General features: G+C 45.8%; 2 protein-coding genes and 1 long non-coding RNA gene across 4 annotated transcripts in view, besides 2 other annotated features; 2 read left to right on the plus strand and 1 right to left on the minus strand.

Moving 5' to 3' along the window:
• GRPR (gastrin releasing peptide receptor) overlaps positions 1–2,264 on the plus strand; it is a 29,954-nt gene extending 27,690 nt beyond the window's left edge. The window contains exon 3 of the mRNA NM_005314.3: positions 1,002–2,264. Coding sequence (NP_005305.1) covers positions 1,002–1,391 — 390 coding nt within the window. The 3' untranslated portion in view covers positions 1,392–2,264. The remainder of the gene's footprint in view (positions 1–1,001) is intronic.
• On the minus strand, positions 1,846–17,425 carry MAGEB17-AS1 (MAGEB17 antisense RNA 1). The gene is made up of 5 exons (NR_187144.1): positions 15,953–17,425; positions 8,399–8,441; positions 6,499–6,605; positions 3,344–3,426; positions 1,846–2,209 (listed from the first exon to the last, which is right to left on the minus strand). It is a non-coding gene; the product is annotated as an MAGEB17 antisense RNA 1 (long non-coding RNA).
• Positions 9,146–10,345: an enhancer, noted in NCBI's record as "P300/CBP strongly-dependent group 1 enhancer chrX:16178523-16179722 (GRCh37/hg19 assembly coordinates)". NCBI's record gives its function as "activates an origin of replication core promoter dependent on BRD2, BRD4, P300/CBP, MED14 and CDK7 cofactors, with strong dependence on P300/CBP, by STARR-seq in HCT116 cells {active_cell/tissue: HCT116}" and the evidence as "EXISTENCE:reporter gene assay evidence [ECO:0000049][PMID:35650434]".
• Positions 16,227–20,210, plus strand: MAGEB17 (MAGE family member B17). 2 transcript variants are annotated; one of them, NM_001277307.2, is made up of 2 exons: positions 16,227–16,529; positions 19,080–20,210. In NM_001277307.2, exon 2 carries the CDS (start codon positions 19,129–19,131, stop codon positions 20,137–20,139), a length of 1,011 nt encoding a protein of 336 aa, NP_001264236.1. In that variant the 5' UTR covers positions 16,227–16,529; positions 19,080–19,128; the 3' UTR covers positions 20,140–20,210. The 2 variants fall into 2 exon arrangements, with proteins under 2 accessions (NP_001264236.1, XP_047298311.1); XM_047442355.1 differs by lacking the exon at positions 16,227–16,529 and adding an exon at positions 17,220–17,654.
• Positions 16,962–17,847: an enhancer, noted in NCBI's record as "H3K27ac-H3K4me1 hESC enhancer chrX:16186339-16187224 (GRCh37/hg19 assembly coordinates)". NCBI's record gives its function as "activates a minimal SCP1, AML or CMV promoter by ChIP-STARR-seq in primed H9 embryonic stem cells {active_cell/tissue: H9 hESC(primed)}" and the evidence as "EXISTENCE:reporter gene assay evidence [ECO:0000049][PMID:30033119]".

Below are 20,210 nucleotides of genomic sequence, written 5' to 3' on the forward strand. Positions count from 1 at the left end.
AGATGCCCTCCATATGATTAGACTCTCTTTCTTATCCCCCATAACACTCCATAATTTCATCCTTGAGTTACAAACAAATGGTAGAAAGCAAGGGCTCCGGCTTCCTCCTCTTTGTCAGTGCTTGCCTTCTAGCCCAGGTGTAGATCATGTAGCATCTATGATGGAAAAGCAGAAACACTCCCCACTCCATTTCAGTGAATAGCTGACTCACTTGGAGACCTTACCCTTTAACGTTCATTATTTATGTATTTGTCTCAGTTGTGGGGGAAGAGTGGCAGTTTCTAATGAAACTACCTTCCTACTTGAAAAGCCTCTCATTAGCCAACATCCATTGTACCCCAAACTCTTTATGGAGAAACATGTTTCCCCTTGAGGTAGTGGATGGAGTTGGGAGCAAAAGGAGATGCCCATCCCTCTTTGCCACAGTCTCTTTCTATAGACTATAGTCCAGAGATAACTCAAGATTTTAAAATCATAATAATAGAGAGTTATCTTGGTTTAGCCAGTGAAGAAGAACAAAGCTGGCTGCTCTTTCTGAGCATGAGAGGGAATAAGAAATTATTAACTGTGGAGAAAAGAAAGACATGAAGTAGTATGGCTGATAAACTGCACCAATGCTCTCCTGAGGAAAAAGGGGGCACTTATTAGAAGTTCATGTTGCAGTCCATTCAAACATGTAATCAACTTTGTTTAAAGATCTGTTCTCAGTGGTATGTTCTAACTCTATTCTTCCTCGTGGGTTTCTGCTTCCTGGCTCATCCATTTCTGTGTTTCTGACTCTTTTTTTTTCCTTTTCTGTCTGTTTCTGTTGCCTTTCTCTCATTTTACTGGATTCTCTCTTGCCCTCTCCTATTGAACTCTTTTTCGGTGGCTTTGTGAACTCCTCTATTGCCCTAATTGTTTTTCCCTTTCTCTTTCTCTGCCTGAATCTTTGTCTCTCTGCATTCTTCTGACACTGTCCCTTGGTTCCTCTGTCTCTCTCCATGTGATTCTCTCCTTAGATTGAATCCCGGAAGCGACTTGCCAAGACAGTGCTGGTGTTTGTGGGCCTGTTCGCCTTCTGCTGGCTCCCCAATCATGTCATCTACCTGTACCGCTCCTACCACTACTCTGAGGTGGACACCTCCATGCTCCACTTTGTCACCAGCATCTGTGCCCGCCTCCTGGCCTTCACCAACTCCTGCGTGAACCCCTTTGCCCTCTACCTGCTGAGCAAGAGTTTCAGGAAACAGTTCAACACTCAGCTGCTCTGTTGCCAGCCTGGCCTGATCATCCGGTCTCACAGCACTGGAAGGAGTACAACCTGCATGACCTCCCTCAAGAGTACCAACCCCTCCGTGGCCACCTTTAGCCTCATCAATGGAAACATCTGTCACGAGCGGTATGTCTAGATTGACCCTTGATTTTGCCCCCTGAGGGACGGTTTTGCTTTATGGCTAGACAGGAACCCTTGCATCCATTGTTGTGTCTGTGCCCTCCAAAGAGCCTTCAGAATGCTCCTGAGTGGTGTAGGTGGGGGTGGGGAGGCCCAAATGATGGATCACCATTATATTTTGAAAGAAGCCATCAAGTCTTAAGTTTTTCATTTCAACTTGTGAACGTTTCTTCTGATGTGAAGCAAACCTTCCCTTTTCAGAAAAGGGAACAAGTAGAAAATTATTTTTTAAGCCTCAAGCCCTGTTAAATGGTCGTGGCCAATTATGTCATAGAAACTGTATGAACAACCAGATTTACATAGCAGAGAAATCATACATTGAATGCTTACTTTGTGAAAGACTTCACCTTGTCATTTCTTTAAGCAGACGCTAGTACTTTAGAAATATAACTTGACTCTGTTTTCAGGAATATCTGTAATACACAAACCAAGGAACAACTTTTATTTACACTCCTAATATGAAAAGTCAATCCTGTGAGAGAGCTCCATGTATGAGGGACACTCTCCAAGTTGATAACAATGGAAGCGAGTTTAATATAAAACAATTCCCTAAGCATTTATTTTTTTTTTAAAAAGATGTTACTGAGGACCTAGAAGAAATGCTCAATACATACTTTGAAAGCAAAAATACAATCAAACACATTGACACGTATATAAAGATCCACGCGTGGCTGTGCGTGATATCTCACACTCTGAATTCTTACTTGATGGAGGTTTTGTTTGCTGCTACGGTTTTAATCATCCAGGGTGCCATTCCACCATAGAAGAGCAATCCTTTTAGGAAAAAAAAAATCATGCTATTAATTAATCAAATATCTATAAATGCATAAAGTACAGTATTTATTCTTGATACATAGGTTTTGAGTCAAATGTATTTACTTAGATTTGTCTTTGACTGCTACACTGAATCAGTAGTTTCACTATAAGAAAGAAGGGATTGTATCTGAGTAGAAATGGGAACATGTTTATATTTAATGTATGCTTCTCCTAACGTTTGTGGGAGGAAGTGAATAAAATTTCAGTAACACGTATTTTTTGTCTGAATATGTATAAGAAAGTCACAGGGGTCTTAACTTTAAGAACTGATTGAAAAACAGCTACAGACTTGTTTCTACTTAAGAAGAGTATTTATGAAAGAGCCATGTGCAGAAAAAGACTTGGCTGAAATATTTTTCTTTTTCTAAGTGAGTTTAGTTGGCTCTAAAAAGATTTGATTCCCTTACTTTAGAAACCCTGAATCGAGTTTTTTTTCACTCAAAGAGGGCAATTTTGACAGGTTGCAAACATATTAACCCACTTTCAAATAAATTCAAATTTTACAAATGTGCCCTTACACATTAAAATTCTAAGACAATTTTAATTTAGGTTTTCTCTATCCAGATGAGATACAAACAGTTGGCTCTCATTTTCACATGGCACATATGAAAAGATTCTTGTCTCTTGATATGAAGAAGTGCCCACTGTCTATGGAGCTTTAGGAGTTGGGACCAAGACAGAATGAAACTTCAATTCTGCTTGCTACGTGCTCGTCTGTACTGTACAAACCTGCTTTGCTGGTAGTCCATAATTACATTGAACAGTTTGAAAAGCAAGACAGATAGTATAGCTTAAAGAACCAAGATTTCTAGCTTGACAGTCCAACTCTGCCTCTAGCTATATCACTCTGGCTATCAATTTCACTTGTCTAGACTCTTGTTTTCATCTCTAGACTGAGAAGACAGTGCTAAGGTCTTGTCTATCGCTAAAATTCTGAGTCTCTTCATCGTCTCTAGTTCTGTCTTTGCAGCCTTTCTGTAGCCCATTTGGTCACAGTAGCCTCACTTCTGCTACGCTTGCAACAACAACTCTTTGGAAATCAACCGCTATTCTATATTTGTGTTCACGTTAGTGGTATGAAAGGAGACAGACCATTCTGTTGCTTCAAGGGGCTCCTTGGAATACTTTGCATGAACCCTGATGTTCCGCGAGCTTGCTATGTTTTGGAGTTAGAGCTGTAAGAGACATAAGAAAACATATTGCTGAGTCTTCTCATTATACAAAGGATACTCTTCCTATTCACCCTTCTTCAACCTCCATGAATCTGTTATTTTGAACTAGTGTTCCACAATTTTGCCCTTGGCTTTCTTCAAAACCCTTGAATATAAATGACTCTATGCTTAGTTAGTTGCTAACATGTATAGCCTTTTGAATACCTAGCATAACTCGTTCAGGCATCTCTGATCTACCTGCTTCCAGAGACATTTTGGGAGTAGAGCTCATCTTCATGTCTCCTTCAGTTAACATCATGGCATAGATTGTGTGTGGTCTTCTTCCTAGCTTCTGGACAAAGAGTGAGGAGATAGAGGTCTAAGTGTAGCTGTGTGTCCTTAGGCGAATCTTATTACTTTTTTTTTTTTTTTTTTTTGAGATGGAGTTTCGCTCTTGTTGCCCAGACTGGAGTGCAATGGCACTATCTGGGCTCACCGCAACCTCTGCCTTCTGGGTTCACGGGATTCTCCTGCCTCAGCCTCCCAAGTAGCTGGGATTACAGGCATGCGCCACCATGCCCAGCTAATTTTGTATTTTTTTAGTAGAGATGGGGTTTCTCCACGTTGGTCATGCTGGTCTCGAACTCCCGACCGCAGGTGATCCACCCACCTTGGCCTCCCAAAGTGCTGGGATTACAGGCATGAGCCACTGTGCCCGGCCAAATCTTACTACTTCTTCGAGACTCTTAAATGAAAGGATTGAAGGAGGCCTTTGCCAGCCAGTGACCAAGGACTGGTAAAACTATTCTGTGAATCAACTAATGGATTGACTTAGACCTTCTTACCAGGAAGGGCATAGTTGGGCCCTTCTCTAGGGAAATCAAAATTTTATTATTTTATTCCACCTCAAGAACCTAAAATTACGTGAGAGAGACCCAAGTCCCCACGTGTATCACTTCTCTGCCAAAGCAGAGTGTGGCAGGGGCTGGAGCTGAGACATTTCACGCCTGGCTTCCAAAGATAATCACGTTTAGCACTTATGTCTTTGGCAAGAAAAAAAAATCAATTTTTGCTGTGGAAAACCATCTGTGTTTATTCAATTGACAGACACTACCTTTCAATCTATCTTAAATTGAGCCTCCCTGAGGCAGGCAGCTCAACAGTGATAGATTAAGCAATAAACAAAGCAATCTTCCCACCAACGGCTGCTGCTGGCAGGGAAGGTGCAGCTGCTATTGGGAGTGATATTCTTTAGCAAGAAGATCCTCCCTGCTTAGTGAAGACAGGGCCCCTCCCTGTTGTTGATTTGATGATTCTCCATAAATGTGGATGGCTAAACCCTGTTTTTTTGACTGCCTTCACTCTCACACTGAACCTGCCTTCCGCCTCATTAACAAGCTCTGGATTTCCCTCTTTGTCCACAAACAATTTGGTTCCATCCGGGAGGATGGAGAACCCCTAGGTAAATAAACTGTTTAGGGGCTGCTGCAGATGAACCAAGCTCATCTTGTTATGAAAATGAACACTGAACAGAAATAAATGAACTTGACAATAGCACATGAGCATCCTTGCATTGTAAAGTCTTCATTCATGTCAAAAGCAGCAGTTGGTTATTTGTTTCAAAGTGTCTTCATGCATCAAGTAGCTTCTGGTAATAGAGATTAACTTTGTTTGGGGAGTACACATTGAATGGCATCATCTGTGGACTAAAAAGTGGCTAAGTCACTGTTCCTGGAAGCCAGCTAGAAACCATCACCCTGGGAAGCTGACTGTATGGAAGCTGAATGAAGAGCCATCCACTTGTATCGTGGTGAGATGGGAAGGGTGCAAACTTTCTTGCCATTTGTGCTCTTCACATCCACAACAGGAGGTAGCTATTGTTAGAGAGTAGCTTAGAATTATCCCTGGGTTTCTGGGGGAATGGAGCACCTTTTGTACACTTGTCTAATTTTTGGCTGTATTCTTATGAAATGGATTAACAGCTGAAAACAAAGGGATTAAAGAATCTTTCTTGGGCCTAGGCTTTCATGGGCCTAGGCTTTGTGCACACTGTTCGATGAAACCAAGGCTTACCAAGCTCTACTTTATTCCGTATCTGGATGGTCATTTCATTTCTCCTAGCCCACACCCAGACACACACTTCTCAAATACACACGACAATTTCACTATCTCACAATCTCTTACTGTAACTTTGGCCTTCAGAAACACCCTTTGTTATATTGCAGGCGGCCAAGCATTAAGTCCAGCTGAATATATTCAGAGCAATCAACAAATAACACACTGAGAACAGACTTTTCTCTTATGAGACTTCACATTAGAAATTCATTCAGTAGAATGTATCTAAATTTTTAAAAAGCTTCAATGTTGCACATATGTTAAATTTAAGAATCCCTGGGTTAGAATATTACTGTGGAATCATGTCCATGACTAATTTTTTTAAAAACATTGCATTTACCTAGTGTTCATGGTCTATAAAGTACTTTTATACTCATTACCTCATTTCATCCAAGCCTTCCCTGCTGGCCAAAGAGCTGCTTTACATCCTTTACTATGGAAATGTGACCATCTACCATTACATTAAAAGGCCCATGGAACTATGAGGCTGAAACATGAAACTGTTAAGATTGGGCCATTTTCGAACTACAAAAAGGCAATTTCATCTGGTTCAGCTTAATCTGATTTCATATTGTTTCGAGGTGAACTAACTGTACTTCATTCCCATGGGCTATTCAGTTATACTGAAGAGCAGTGCTGATCATCACTTCTCCACTTTACAGGATATTCTCTTGTCCCCAAAGTGAATCTGTTTAACTTGGCACAAGGGAGTGGACAGGGTCATTGTGGGCTGCCCCAGGAGAGACATATTGGTGGGCACAACATTCAATGCCACAATGAAATGGAAGGCTAAGACAAAGAAGGGTGGGATCCTTGGGAGCAAAGACACTGGCCAAGAAATACACCAAATTTGACCAAAACCTGAATGGAGTGCTGTGGCTCTGGAAGTGCTGGAAAGGAAGGGGCTCAACTTCACCAAACACTGACAATGTGCCAAGTCCAGTGCTGGGCACATGAAGCCGTGGCAGGGAGATTACTTACTGATCCTCAAGTCACATGGGGAAGTTGAGTGGCAGAGTATAAGTGTGGAGCTGATCTCTCTATGTCGATGTCCATTCCACTGCTTAGCATTGCTTCCCAAATCCAACCTGTGTGAAAAATTAAGTTCACAGTACTTAGAAGAAAACTCCACTCCCTATTCTAGGTTTTGTCCAGAGACCTGAACTAATGATAGAGTCAAAGAATGTATGCAAAGAGCATTGAGGCACCTAGTTTAAGGAATTGTTGAGGGCAGAGGCTGAAATGCAGCACAAAGCGGGTGAGTCAGAAAGTCCCTTAGGTCAGTTGTTCGCACCCTCCTTCTCCCCTACTCAGAGACACAATTCACTTGCAACTGGAAGCCCTGGGAAGAATTTCCCACCTAGTTCTGTGTCTGAGGAGAGAAAAAAACTTGCTAAGGACCAAGTTAGAGAGAAAACCCAAATGAGAACAGCGAATCTAGCCATCTTTCTTTGAATCAGAATTAGTTGGAGAAAAAGTGTCAGGTAGAGGTAGAACCACCTACGCCCCCACTTTCCCCAAAATAGAGTAAGATACGACAATGGTTGGTTTCCTAGAGTCTGGGGACCCAGGCTACATAAATAGCCTCTAACAGAAAAGCATCTCCTGGACTAAGGGGACAGATAAGAAACTCAGATATGGACTTAGGTATCTGAGTGCCCAGCCCTAGGTGCCCTGTTCTAAACACAGACACCACTGTCTCTCGGCCCTCTCTGAGCTCACATTTCTAGAAGATAAGATTATTTGCCTTTTTTCCCCCAATTTAAAATTCACTCACAGAGTCATATAATGACATGAAAGGACTCACATAATTTTATGACATTTTAAAAGAATAATTTTAATGGACAGTAAAACCTCGTACATTCAAGGCCTCATTAACTCCCAGACAAGCTTAAAAATGTTGGCATAACTCAGAACTTCAATGTTGAAGGTACATTATATAATTTGAGCCTGTTGTGAATCCAGATTTTCATAACTTTGCTTCCATTTTAGCTAATGACATTAATAATACGTGTATAACATTAAGAAAGTAAAACTCATTATCTTCTAAAAGTTTTTTTTTTTCTGCAGTCTGGGCTTTACTGATTCAAACATGACCTTTCTTGCATTCAAGTCAGTAGAGTTTTGGGTAATAAAATTCGTAAAACAGTCAATTCGGTGAGTTGTAAAAATAAATGGCACAAACTTCTTTAATGTCATTTTATGTTTTGTTTTAAATATTAGACTCATATTTCATAAATTATAATTGTACTTGCTACTATTAACTGTAAATATTTATTGCATTGAAAAATGTACTCTGTGTTAAATAACTCAGAACAAGTTCCAGGTGTGGTACTTAGTGTAAATAATGTCACGGCTTGGCTTTGCCTGGACTCCTTGAACAAATGAATTATTTATAAGAAATTCACAATATTAATATGAATGACTCAGATCCCTTTAAATGTTCAGACTTAACTCTGTGACCATGTAAAACTCTATCTATAAAGTGTGCTTTGAGTGAAATTGTTATTTTTCAACAAATGCTTCCAATGCTTCTATCACATTGTAAGTGGTCTGTATGACATTAAGTCAGATCCCGTGTATAGTAAGCTGGATGTTCAAGTTGTAGAAGAAATGAGGTTTATTCTTTAATATAATAAAACATAATTTGTGAAATGGACAGATACATGTATCCAACGTTCAATAAAAAATAGTTGTTGCATGAACATAGTCTGTGGCTATGTGCCCCACAGTTCCTTGGTTCCTTGGACCATCTACATCAGAATCAGCCAGGCTGCTCATTGCAAAATGCAGATTCCCCAACCCTCTATTGACTTGGAACAATGTCAGTGTTTAGGCTGGGGGTGTGGTGTTTAATTAAATTTTTAAAATATGTACTTACCTTTTGAATATGTAAGCCATTCTCATGGTCCAAAACCAAAAGCCTAGAAAGGAATCCAGTGAAAACTTACTCAGCTACCATTGTCCCCTCTGTACAGTTTTTGCACCCATTACCAAACCCTTCAAAGGAGTGACCATTGTTATGTTATTAGTTTCTTACTTGTGTACACTACTGGACATTTTTTACGCATATGCGAATAAATACAAATCTGTGTTTTCCTGAAGCCCACCACCATTTTACAGAAATGGTAGCCTATACATTGTTTGCCCCTTGTTTACTTCACTAAATACCATATCTTAGAGATCTTTCCATATCGGTAAACAGTAGTCTCCCCTTATCCACAGTTTCACTTTCTGCCATGTCAGCTACCCACAGACAACTGCAGTCCGAAAAAAGCCAAGTACAGTACAATAAGATATTTTAGGAGAAAGAGACCACATTCACATAACTTTTATTACAGTATGTTGTTATAATTGTTGGATTTTCTTGTCAGTTTTTGTTGTTATTTTGTTACCTTGCCTAATTTATAAATTAAACATTATAATAAATATGTACGTTTAGGAAACAAAGATAGTATCTATAGGGCTCAGTGCTATTTGTGGTTTCAGGCATCCACTGGGGGTCTTGGAACATATCCTCCACAGATAAGGGGGGACTATTGTATAAAGCACTTCCTCATTTTTTCTTACACCGGCATAGTAGCCCCTAATTTATTTACCCATCCCCCATTGATGAACTTTCAGATTGCTTCCAATATCTGGCTATTATCAACCATATTGCAATGAATAACATACACAATTTCATGCATGAGCAAGTGTTGCTGTAGGAAAAATTCTTAAATGTAGAACTGCAGAAACAAAGAGCATACGCTTTTATAATATTGACAGTTATTCTAAATTGCTCTCTTTAGGACTTGAACATTAAAGTTTGGGAGTGTCTGTTTCCTGGGATAATCGTAGGCATCAGAGAGCAGGAAAGCTCACACAAATTATAAATCAAAGTGAAGAAGTCTAGCTGAAAGTTCCAGATGTTTAGCCTACTGACTACCTGAAGCCTACTTTTCTTTCCATCTTGGCTCCTGCTTATTGTGAAGAAAGAGTAATTGATTCTAAGGTTAGCGTTCCAGAGACAGTGAGGAGAGTTGGCATTTAGTTCATTTATCCATTCCTGCAGGATCAGTTGTCAGGAAGCAAATTCTTTCTCTCTTTGTCACCAATTCCACTTATTTGAAGTCTGCCTAATGACTAAGCCAGTGGTCAAGTCTCTAGGAATATTTAAAATACTCAACAGCAAACGTTAGGCAGCATGAGAAATACCACAGTCGCTAAGTTGTGAACAAAATAAGCTGATGACAAAGAAATGACACAGCTACAGTGGATGCAAATTAGGGCTGTCCAAGCTCCCTGTACTCCAGGTGAGAAGAGGTAATACCAGAGATGTCTATTAGATGCAGTCACAAAACTCTTTGAGAGGCACACTGACAGCCTTGCCAAGGGAGCTCTTGAGTGTGCCAAAACAAAGGGGCTACAGGCTCCAGGCAAGTCTGAAATCCAACAGGGCAGTCATTACACCTTAAAGTTCCAAAATGATCTCCTTTGACTTCATGTCTTACATCCAGGTCACACTGATCCAAGAGGTGGGCTCCCACAGCCTTGGGCAGCTCTGTCCCTGTGGCTTTGCAGGGTACAGCCCCCTCCTGGCTGCTTTCACAGGCTGGTGTTGAGGGGCTCTGGCTTTTCCAGGTGCACAGTAGTGCAAGCTGTCGGTGGATCTACCATTCTGGGGTCTGGAGGACTATGGCCCTCCTCTCGCAGCTCCACTAGGCAGTACCCCAGTGGGGACTCTGTGTGGGGGATCCAACCCCACATTTCCCTTCTGCACTGCCCTACTAATATGGGAAGGGGGCAGAGAAGGGCTGGGTAGAGAAGGCCATGGTCCCTGGTAAGGGCTCCACCCTCAGGCATGTGCTCACAGACCTAAGTGAGGACAGGCACTCCTGTTTTTGCATCCAAATGTTGCATTTTTCTGGCCCACCATGCCCCCATCCCGTGCTCATATAAACTTGAGGGACACAAAGTGGCTGGACATTGAGAGGAACACACCAGCAGGAGAACACACCAACGGACACCAGCAGATGCCAGCAGGCCATCAATGGTGGAACAATGTGGACACCAAGGGGAATTCGACCAGGGCAGTCAGAGGAGGATCTGGCCACTGGGTGGACTGACTCCAGGGGAAGACCATCTTCCCACTCCATCCCCCTTCTGGCTCCCCATCCATCTACTAAGAGCTATTTCCACCACTCAATAAAACCTTGCACTCATTCTGCAAGCCCACATGTGATCTGATTTTTCTGGTACAGCATGGCGAGAACCCAGGATTCAGAAAGCCCTCTGTCCTTTTCATAAGGCAGAGAGTCTAATTGAGCTGATTAACACGCAACTGAAAGAGCACACTGTAACACATGCCCACTGGGATTTCAGGCGCTGTAAACAACCCTAGACACCGCCATGGGGTTAGAGCCCCAAAACACTCCTCACGACCTGCCTGTCTGCATGCTCCTCCTAGGGGTTTGAGTAGCAGGGCACTGAAGAAGTGAGCCACATCCCTGTTGCATGCCCTGTGAGGGGGATGAGGGAATACTCCTCCCTTTTCAACAGCAGAGGTTCTCCATGAGGGCCCTGCCCCTGCAGCAAACGTCTGCCTGGACATCCAGGGGTTTCCATACATCCTCTGAAATCGAGGCAGAGGTTCTCAAACTTCAATTCTTGACTTCTGTGCACCCGCAGGCTCAACATCATGTAGAAGCTGCCAAGCCTTGGGGCTTGCACCCTCTGAAGCCAGGGCCTGAGCTGTACCTTGCCCCCTTTTAGCCATGGCTGGAGCAGCTGGGACACAGGGCACCAAGTCCCTGGGCTGCACACAGCAGGGGGGCTCTGTGATGAGAGGGGCTACCGCAAAGTTCTCTGACATGCCCTGGAGACATTTTCCCCATTGTCTTGGTGATTATCATTTGTTTGTTACTTATGCAAATTTCTGCAGGAGGCTTGAATTTCTCCCCCGAAAATGGGTTTTCTTTTCTATTGTATCGTCAAGCTGCAAATTTTCCAAGCTTTTATGCTTTGCTTCCTCTTTAACACTTTGCTGTTTAGAAATTTATTCTGCCAGATACCTTAAATCACCTCTTTCAAGTTCAAAGTTCCACAGATCTCTAGGGCAGGGGCCAAATGCTGTCAGTCTCTTTGCATAGCAAGAGTCACCTTTACTCAAGTTCCCAAAAAGTTCCTCATCTCCATCTGAGACCACCTCAGCCTGGACTTCATTGTCCATATCACTATCAGCATTTTGGTCAAAGCCATTCAACAAGTCTCTAGGAAGTTCCAAACTTTCCCACATCTTCCTGCCTTCTGAGCCCTCCAAACTGTTCCAACCTCTGCCTTTTACTCAGTTCCAAATTCGCTTCCACATTTTCAAGTATCCTTATAGTAGCACCCCAGTCTCTGCAGGTACCAATTTACTGTATTAGTCTGTTCTCATGCTGCTAATAAAGACATACCCAAGACTGGGTAATTTATAAGGAAAAGAGGTTTAATTGACTCACAATTCTGCAAGTCTGGGAGGCCTCAGGAAACTCACAATTATGGTGGAAGGGGAAGCAAACACATCCTCCACATGATGGCAGGAAGGAGAAGTGCCGAGTAAAAGGGGGAAAAGCCCCTTATAAAACCATCAGATCTCATGAGAACTCACACACTATCATGAGGGCAGCAAGAGGGTAGCCGCCCCCTTGATTCAATTACCTTCGACTGGGTACTTCCCACGACACATGGGGATTATGGGAACTAAAATTCAAGATGAGATTTGGGTGGGGACACAGCCAAACCATATCACATGTCACTGCCCTAAACAAGATATGCTCCTTGTTTTGCTTAAACTCTTGCAAATAACCCCTAACAGGCTCTTATTTTTCTTCTTTACTTTTTTTTTTTCTAGATTATGCTTCCTTATTCATGCCTCTGATCATGTTGCTCTCATGCCCACATTTTGTTATTGTCCCCATTTCCCAGGACAAAATCTAATTTCTCTGACCTTGATTTGACTCCCTACTTCCCAGGCTTATCTCCCACTGCACTATCCCTTCCCTCTGCACCCAGAGACTCCCTCCATTCACACCTGGCTCCTAATTGTTCCCTGACACTTCTTTGGGCCAGTGTTTCTCAACCTGGGCTGCCCTTAGAATAAACTGTGGGGTTTTTAAAAATCCTGATGACCGCCAGGCGCAGTGATTCACACCTATAATTCCAGCACTTTGGGAGGCCAAGGCAGGAAGATTACTTGAGCCTAGGAGTTTGAGGCCAGCCTGAGCAACATGGTGAAACCCTCATCCCTATAAAAAAAATACAAAAATTAGTCAGGCATGGTGGTGCACACCTGTAGTCCCAGTTACTCTGGGGACTGAAGTGGAGGATCACTTGAATCCGGGAGGCAGAGGCTGCAGTGAACCGAGATCAGGCCACTGCATTCCAGAGCAAGACTCTGTCTCAAAAAAAAAAAAAAATCCTGATGCCCAGGTCCTGCCCCTGAACAGCCGAGTCAGAATCTCAAGGAGGGGGAACCCAGACGTCTCTATTTCAAAGCTCTCCAAGCAATTGCAATAAGCAGACAGGGTTGAGGACTACCTCACCTAAAATGTCCTCTTGTCTCTCAGCTGGCCTGAATCCAACCCATTCCCCAAAGCCCAGCTGCAGTGTTCTCTCTCCGTGAAGCCCTCCCATGCTCCTGTACTCACACAGTACTTTCTACATGGGTCTTATTTTTTTAATCATATCCTGCTTTGAATTATATTTACTTGTGTAAATGCTGATCTATCCCAGGAAATCAGGAATTGGCAAACATTTTCTGTAAAGGGCCAGAGAGTAAATATTTTAGGCATTGCATGACATACAGTCCGTGTCATGATTACTAGATTCTGCCTTTGTAGTATGAAAGCGGTCATAGATAACATGTATATGAGTGAGTGTGGTTGTGTTCTAATAAATCTGCATTTGCAAAAACAGGTGGTGAGCTAGATTTGGCCTGAAAGTTGTCACTTGCTGACTCCTGCATGAGACTAATAAAGCTTCTTAGGGCCAGGGACCTTTTCTTCTCTATAAGGCTTTCTTTCCTTCCTTCCTTCTTCCTTCCTTTCTCCCTCCCTCCATCCCTTCCTTCTTTCCTTCATTTCTTCCTTTTCTTTTCCCTTCCTCTTTTTCTCTCCCTTCCTTCCCTCCCTCCCCCGTTCCCTCCCTCTTTTCTTTTCTTCTTTCTTTCTTTCTTTCTTCTCTCCTTCCTTCCTTCCTCTTCCTCCACCCCTCTCTTTCTTTCTCTCTATCTCTCTCTTCGTTTCTTTCTTTTTTCTTTCCTCTTCCCCCAACGCTCTTTCTCTCTCTTTCTTTCTTTTTCTTTTCTTTCCTCTTCCCCCACCCCCTCTCTCCTTTCTCTCTCTTTCTTTCTTTCTTCCTTTCTTTCTTCTTTCCTTCTTTCTGTCTCTCTCCCTCCCTCTCTGTCTCCCTCTCCTTCTTTATTTCTCTCTCTCTGTCTTGCCATCCCTCATGTCTATTGCATTGTCTGAACCAATCAGAGAAAACCACAAAATTCCCTTTGCAGAGCTCTATGTGATCAGTTTCTCACAACCACAGACCCAGAGCATAAATAGCCAAAGTGAGGAGGGAAGTGTCAGAGTTAATAAATTCTGCCTTTTAGGCAACTATTAGTATTTACCTTACTTGTCATGTCCAATAGGACCATCAAATAAACAACTGTCATTTGTGGTGCACAGATTAGCACCAACTAACACTGACTTAATTCACCATTATTAAAAATGATGCCCACTCCAGACAAGAAGTAAAGGAACCATGACTCTCTGGCCTGTAGTCAAAGGCAGGGGAACGTTCTGAGAGTTCTTTAACATACATCACTGTGAGTGGTCAAACTTGTCATAGGGGCTCATATTAACTAGGAAGCATGAAACATGCTGGTGAATGCCATGGTAAGAAAAAAATAAACTTTCTTGCTAACCATCTGCAAGTATTGCTTTTTTTTTTTTCTTGAGATGGAGTCTCACTCTATCGCCCATGCTGGAGTGCAGTGGCGCAATCTCGGCTCACTGCAACCTCCACCTCCCGGGTTCAAGCAATTCTCCTGCCTCAACCTCCCAAGAAGCTGGGATTACAGGCACCTGCCACCACACCCAGCTAATTATTGTATTTTTTCAGTAGCAACAGGGGTTCGCCATGTTGGCCAGGCTGGTCTCGAACTCCTGACCTCAGGTGATCCACCCGCCTCAGCCTCCCAAAGTGTTGGGATTACAGGGGTGAGACACCATGCCCGGCGAGTATTGTTTATTTAGAATAAAACTATTCCCATACTGTCACACTCATCTCAGCCTGAGACAGACCTTGTGTATCTTAATTCACTTTTCTTCTCCCTACTCCAAATTGTATATCAAGTAATAAGAAGAAAAATACCGTGTACAAACTACTGGTTTGGAATACATAGCCAGAGCAATAAGAATACAAAAATAAATGAGAGCTATGAATAAGGAAAAGAAAGAGACAATACTCAGTGACCACATGATCATCTACATATGTGATGTCAGATCACCTGAAAAGATTGGGGACTCACAGAATCATGTGGCCCTACCCTTCCTTGGAGAAAGCCAATCTATTAGAACCAAAGTTACAGCAGAGGCAAAGTCTGGCTGGTAAAGAAATGGAATAGACCAACTGGCTTTATTTTGACCACCCACCACTTGTCCTGGGCCCCCTGCCTTGAGCTACAACTTCCTGATCTCTCATCACTTCAGGGCAAGGAGCCATTCTCTGCAAAGTTTGCGGAAGAAAAACTGTTAAAGAGATTGCAGGGATTTGGCATTTCCCAGGAAGCCTTGAATTAATGAGACAGGAACCAAGATGTGAAGCCCCATGTAGGAGGACTGAGGATACCGTCATCCCAGAATATTGGAGGTCCAACAGAGACCAGCCTGTGGCTGCTCTCAGACTTAGAGGGCCACAGGCAGGGCTGAGGCTGAGCATCTCCACAATTATCCTTCAAGGTTCTCAGGAGCATGAGAGATTTCAGGAAGACAAACTCAGGTCAGTAGAGGAAGGACTGTGAGCTTCTGATAGATACCAAGGTGATGACCCTGAATTAAGAATAAAGGAAGGAACAAGCCAGAACAGTGGGGTCCCATAGAGTCCTGCCCTGGCTGACAGCCCTTGTCGTTCTGGAATAGTCATTGGTAGATTTGGCTCATCCTGATTACAACTCTGTAGTCCCAGGAAGGTGAAGACCTTGATCAGAGGGGAGCAGCCTCAAGTCCCATGAGGATCGAGTTCCAGGACTAGTCAGTCAGGTGTCAAGGTGAGGAATTTCAGGGAGCAATTAGAAAACCACACATCCATACTAGAACAGAGGAAGACACAAAAACTCTTACCTCCACCAACCCACATCTCCCCTTCCCTGCACCGCCGCTGCCACACCATCCCATCCCCACTCCTGTCACACCATCCTTACCTCTCCTGTGACTTGGGAAGCTCAGGAAGAGCTGTCAGGTTGAGGTGACTGTCATTTCGGCCTGGAGGGTCTCAGGGAAGGGAGAATCTTGGTCTGGTGGGGGAAGCCCCAGCTGTGCATAGTGGAGCCCCAGAAACTGACTCGAATCAAGGTGAGGACCGAGAGTGACATAAGGGAATGGTTATCAGCAAAAAATAAAAACAAAAATAAAAAAATGCTTAATCTTGTCAGCCATAGCAAAGACCTCAGCTGAGGACCCCTTTTTTTCTGCTTAGATGCTCTAACGAGGGTAGTGACTCTGTCTAAAGGCAAAAGCACAGTTCAGCTGAGGGAGGAGAACTGGACACTCATTGGAGTCCCGGAGAGGACACTGAGTACACTGGAGAGGACTTCTATGCAAAAAGGGGGCCCGAGCAGAGCCCCGCCCCGCTTTCAGCCCTGGGAGACCCAGCAGGGACTTGATTGGATGTGGCTCACTCCGACATCCGCCCGCCTGGGAAGCTGCCGGAAGTGAGGATCTTCGTCTGAGGGACGCCACCTCAGGCTACCAGAACCCCAAGACTGGTTGGGTATCAAGGTAAGGACCCTGATCGTGGACTGAAAGGCCCACCACACGCAGCCAAGGCGACCACCCTGTGTCCCCCAACCCCCGCCCCCGGGTACCCACCTCCCTCAGCCGCGGGAGGCTCCAGTCAGGCTGTGGCACTGACTTCTGAGAGGGCACCAGGGAGGGGAGGGTTTGGTGTGAGGGTGAGGCTTCGATTCTGCAGAGGGATGGACTCCTAGGCCCTAATCGAAATGAGGTCCCTGATGCTGATGAGGAGACCTCTCCCAAACATGGGAGGCCCACGAGGCGGGCATGGTAGCTCACACCTGTGATCCCAGTGCTTTGGGAGGCTGAGGCGGGAGGATTACCCGAGCCCAGCAGTTCCAGACCAGTCTGAGTAACAAAGCGAGACCCTCTCTCTCCAAGAAAGAAAAGAACAAAAACTAGCGGGACATGGTGGCCGGCGCCTGTGGCCCCAGCGACTCGGGAGGCTGAGGCAGGAGGATCGCTTGAGCCCAGCAGGTCGAAGCTGCAGTGAGCCATGGTCACGCCATGAGCGTGGCGACAGAGTGAGACCCCGTGTCTGTCACAAAGAAAAAAAAAAAAAAGGAAAAAGCAAGAGAGCCAGGGAGAGCCAGAGAGCCAGGTTTCTGCTGCCCTGTTGTCAGCTCTGGGAGACCCCGTGCAGGCATAGCCAGACGGGGCATGCCGTGACTTTTCCCTCTAGCAACTTTGGGACGTGAGAGCTTGGGCCTGGGCCTGGCTGACTCAGGTCAGTGGAGCGACCTGAGTCGCGTCCCAAAGAGTTGGAGGTCCCACCCTGAGCCAGGTTCAGAACCCTGAGGCAGAGCAGTGGGGTCCCCTATAGTCCCACCCCTGCTGTCACGCCTTGAAGGCCCTAAACAGCCTTGAGAGGATGTGGCTTACCCTGAATGTCCAAATCTGAGGTCCCATTGAAGCAAGGATCTTGCTTTGAAGGGTGTTGCCTGTAGTGAGCTGAGGATGGAGTCCCAGGACTGGTCAAGTAGCAAGGTGAAGATCCTGAGCCCTCAGTAGACAGGGCTGCACGGAGCGTTTCAGCAGAGGGCTTTGGTTGCAAGACTGGCTGCCCCAGGTCAGCGGAGAAAGGAGTCCCAGGCTCTGTGGGGAGTGAAGGTAAAAAAAACCCTGCGTGAGGAGGGAGGAAAATGGCCATTCCAAAACACAGGAGACCACATAGAGTCTCAGCTCTGCTGTGCGCCCTGGGAAACCATGGGCAGAGCCATTAGCATTTGGTGACCCCTCGTGTCCTGAAGGGGTCAGGGTGGCGTTTCAGAGAAGTGGCTCTTTTGCACCAATGGGCGAGGCCCCATTCATGGTGGGGTGGGAAGGAGGACTTAGTCCCTGGTGGGAGTCAAGGGGAGAACACTGAATGAGAAGAGGGAGCCCTTCCCAGGGAGAAGTAGGCCACATAGAGCACCACCCCTACTGTCACCTCTGGGAGACCCAGGCACGTTGGCATGGTGAGTGGCATTTCCTCCCAGGGCATCTCAGGGAGGTGAAGAGCCTGGGTAAAAGGGACAGCCTCAAGACAGCTGCTGGAGGTTGTTAAGCTCTTGCCAGGAGTCAAGGTGAAGACCCTGAGGACCAAGGGGACCACCCATTTGTAACTGTGGGGCCAACACAGAAAATCTCCACTGCTCCCAGTCTTGGGACATGATGAGCATTTGTGGCCAGCTGAGGTGACCGTCACTACTTCCTAGGGGTATTTCAGAATGGAGGGGCTGGTATGAGGTAATAAGTCTCAGGTTAAGACAGGAGTGTTTTCCAGGTAATGATGGGAATCAGGGTTAAGACTCTGAGTGAGAGCTGAGGAGAGCACTCACCTGGATCCGGGGGCACCACAAAGGCTGGCTTCCCTCTCAGGCCTGGGAAACCTCAGGAGAGGGAGTCGGATAGAGGGCCCCTCACTTCTAGCCTATGGGGGCTCAGAGTGGACAGGGCCTGGGGCTGAGGCTGGAGGAATCTGGTGGGCTGAGCGACATGTCCCACATTCTGCCTAAGTGAGGACTAACAGGGCCACCGAACCCAGAACATCAGAGGCTCTGAGAGTCCAGACCCTGCTACCAGTCCAGAAAGGCCATGAACAGGGGTGGCTGGAGGGGACTCATGCTTTCTTTCCCCTTGGGGTGGGGGTGAGGTCTCAGGAAGGTGAGGGCCTTGACCTGAAGGGAAGGGCCTCAGATAGTGAGGACCCTGAGGAGCGTGGAGCCACCGACCCCAAATTAGTAAGAGGACCTCAGGATCCCTCCCTATGTCAGAGGTTTGAGGCCCCAGACAGGGATGTCAAGCCCAGATGGCCTCAGTTTCCCCTCAGAGGAAACAGAGAAGTAAGGATCTTGGTCTCAGGCAGGGCTGGCAGGCTGCAGGGCAAGGAGCACTGTAACTTCCTCCCCAGGGTCCCCAGGGGACAGGCTGCCCTGGAGAACAGGAGCCTGGTGGGGCTATGGAGCAGGGTCCTCAAGGACACCTGCATGGAGGCCTCCTTAAGGTGATATCTCCCCACTGAGGGGCTCACACACTCTGTTCCTCCTGCTCCAGGTGCCCACCTCCTGCACCCTCTTGCCTGCTGCCCCTAAGCACAGTCATCATGCCTCGCGGTCAGGCGAGTAAGCGCCGTGCCCGTGAGAAACGCCGCCAGGCTCGAGGTGAAGACCAATGTCTCGGGGGTGCTCAAGCCACCGCAGCAGAGAAGGAAAAGCTGCCATCCTCCTCCTCTCCTGCATGCCAGAGTCCTCCCCAGAGCTTCCCCAATGCAGGCATTCCTCAGGAGTCCCAGAGAGCCAGCTACCCCAGCTCTCCTGCTTCAGCTGTTTCACTCACAAGTTCTGATGAAGGTGCCAAGGGCCAAAAGGGGGAAAGTCCCAACTCCTTCCATGGCCCGTCCTCCTCTGAGAGCACAGGAAGAGATCTTCTGAACACGAAGACGGGCGAATTGGTGCAGTTCCTCCTCAACAAGTATATAAGGAAAGAGCCCATTACGAGGGAAGCCATGCTGAAGGTTATCAACAGAAAGTACAAGCAGCACTTCCCTGAGATCCTCCGGAGAAGCACTGAGAACGTAGAGGTGGTCTTTGGCCTCTACCTGAAGGAAATGGACCCCAGCCGTCAGTCCTATGTGCTTGTTGGCAAGCTGGACTTTCCCAATCAAGGAAGCTTGAGCGATGGCGGGGGCTTTCCCCTGAGCGGGCTCCTGATGGTTCTCCTGAGCACCATCTTCATGCATGGCAACCGTGCCACTGAGGAAGAGATGTGGGAATGCCTGAATGCATTGGGGATGTATAAGGGTAGGAAGCACTTCATCTATGGGGAGCCCCAGGAGCTTGTCACCAAAGATTTGGTGCGAGAGGGGTACCTGGAGTACCAGCAGGTGCCCAGCAGCGATCCTCCACGCTACGAGTTCCTGTGGGGTCCCAGGGCCCGTGCTGAAACCAGCAAAATGAAAGTCCTGGAGTTTGTGGCCAAGCTCAATGATACCGTTGCCAGTACCTACAAGTCCCGGTATGAGGAGGCTCTGAGAGAGGAGGAAGAGCAAGCCAGAGCCAGAGCGGTAGCCAGGGATAGCGCCAGGGCCAGGGCTAGCAGGTCCTTTCAGCCCTAGTGAAGTCTCAGGCAATCCTCACTAAGAGATTGAAAAGCCTGTCCACCATCTCAGTATTTGGGGGTGAGGTG

Source organism: Homo sapiens, chromosome X (assembly GCF_000001405.40).
Source record: "Homo sapiens chromosome X, GRCh38.p14 Primary Assembly".
Classification (NCBI taxonomy): domain Eukaryota; kingdom Metazoa; phylum Chordata; class Mammalia; order Primates; family Hominidae; genus Homo; species Homo sapiens.

Coding starts and splice junctions, on each gene's coding strand:
- MAGEB17 (NM_001277307.2), top strand. CDS start 19,129: ATGCCTCGCGGTCAGGCGAGTAAGCGCCGTGCCCGTGAGAAACGCCGC.